The sequence below is a fragment of the Homo sapiens genome, chromosome 9, assembly GCF_000001405.40.
Source record: "Homo sapiens chromosome 9, GRCh38.p14 Primary Assembly".
Lineage (NCBI taxonomy): Eukaryota > Metazoa > Chordata > Mammalia > Primates > Hominidae > Homo > Homo sapiens.
The window spans coordinates 100597791-100599772 of record NC_000009.12 but is presented as its reverse complement, the minus strand read 5'-3'; the positions used below and the strand labels follow the sequence as shown (position 1 = coordinate 100599772).

The 1982-nt window shown below is 50.6% G+C and overlaps 1 annotated feature.

Annotated features, from left to right (window-relative positions):
* Nucleotides 732-1026: an enhancer, noted in NCBI's record as "tiled region #4026; HepG2 Activating DNase unmatched - State 4:PromP, and K562 Activating DNase matched - State 1:Tss". NCBI's record gives its function as "activates a minimal TATA promoter and a strong SV40 promoter by Sharpr-MPRA in HepG2 and K562 cells {active_cell/tissue: HepG2 | K562}" and the evidence as "EXISTENCE:reporter gene assay evidence [ECO:0000049][PMID:27701403]".

The window sequence follows — 1982 nt, the reverse complement described above, 5'->3', positions numbered from 1 at the left end:
GAAGAGAGGTCAAGTGAGGATCCTTTGGAGAGATCTGCTGAACCCGCAACCAAAGGAGGTGGTGTGAGGGGCCTGCTTCTAACCTCAAGCTTACCAAAGAGGGCCTCTGAGGGACCACTCAGGGAGCTTGCAGTCCAAGGGATGCAGTGCACTGCTGTTTGATTCCCATCCAAGAAATCTGGAGGCACAATGGTGCCTTTCAGGTGTGGCAAATTCTGAAGGCTGATTTTTTTTTTCTTGTGGAGCCCTTTCAAAGTTTCCTCAAGCAATGCCTCCCCTCCAGCGGACTCCTGACGACAACCCCCTCAACTTACGCATCTGACAGTGAGGCCCCAATCCCCTTCTGCTGAGCTCTCACCTTCGAGAGGAAGTGTCTTAAGGAGAATTTTTTTCCAAGTAGCCAACTCCCTACCACTGACCCGCTTGGCCCAGGAAAAACTCAGTCATCATTGCCCTCTTGTCATCATATGGACAATTTGTTCGTAAGTCTAATTCAACCAACGAGACAGAAACTGCAAAGCTTAAACAGCTCAGTCGCCAGCCATAAATAAAACAGTGCCAGGAGAGAATAATTTTTCAACTATAAGGAGACCAAGACAAGGGAATAATTTACATTTCTGGTTTGCGTGAGTGGAGCTGCGAAAATAGCCCATCATATGTACATCACTATATTTTAACAAATTTCCTATTGGTAGACGGCTAGACTGCGACAGGAATTAACAGGAATTCCTACAAAACAAACCGGACTCAAGCCGGGCGCTGAACCTGGATGCTGACGGAGACGGGAAGAGAACACCCGCCCCGCAGACCTCGGCGCCTGCGCCGGCTCTGCACCGGCTCTCCGCGGCGCGCATGCGTTACGCCATTAGCGCTTTTCATGTGGCTCCTCCCCGGCCCCGGCGCGCTTACTGCGGGAAATGCAAAATTCCCTCCTCCTGCCCGCGGAGCCGGTTTCAAGAGAGCGAGCGGTGGGTTCTGGAACCACCCTGTCCTGCCGGAAGCGTACGCTCCCCCGCCTACCTGGGGACTGGGCGGGGCTCCAGGGAGAGAGGCCAGGCCTCCGCAGCCCCACCAGCTCCGGCCAGGTGCGTGGTATTCGAGAGTAGATTTGTTGTGAGGGTTAAAGTACTTAAAGTTCCTTGCCTTAAATAAAGAGCATAATAAATTGTGGCTGTTGTTACCTGCTTCCGTCACTTCTGGCGCCTGAGATTTGGTTCTTCCTCTCCAGGATTAATTTTGTTTGCTCAGTCTTCTTCCACCTGCTCAAGAATTTTAACCAGTTGCCACACCTGCGGCCTTCGCTTTACCCCTTCTTGGCTGGGCCTTCTCCTTCAGCTCATCTCCCCCATCATTTACAAATACCCTCCTGTTTTCTGTGCTCTGTCCCTACCTACCTCTCCTGTCCCCATCTCATGAGCGTTATCAAAGGTTATCACATTTGTCTCTTCTCCTCCCACCCCATCTCCCCAACTCACTGGAATCTGGCTGCTTCTACCCACTCCACTCAAACTGCTCTCAGCAAGGTCCTCAGCGACCTTGTCATGCACCCCAATGAACACTTTTCCATGCTGCTCTCTCTGCAGCTCCTGACACATCTATCTGAAACTGCTGCAAATCCCTCTGTCATCCACAATGCTCACACTCCCGGTTTTCCAAACTCTCTGATCACTATATTTGCCAGAAGTGTGTCTTCCTTCCCCTGCCCATTTCTGTTGGCTCCCACACACATGCTTCCTGGTTAGTTGTTTTTTTTTCACACTCCACACTTTTATGGGGTGAAGATCTCCTTAATGCCATTGTTTTTGCCTTGCTGATGACTCCCAAATCTGTACCTCTAGTCTAGATCTTTCCTCTGAGCTTCAAACTCCTGGCTATCCCACAGGCACCTCAGACTTAGCACCCCCAAAACATATCTTTTCCAGCAAACCTGCTTCAACTTCTGTACACTTTCTTCTTTGTCCCTCTTCTCACTGGATAACATC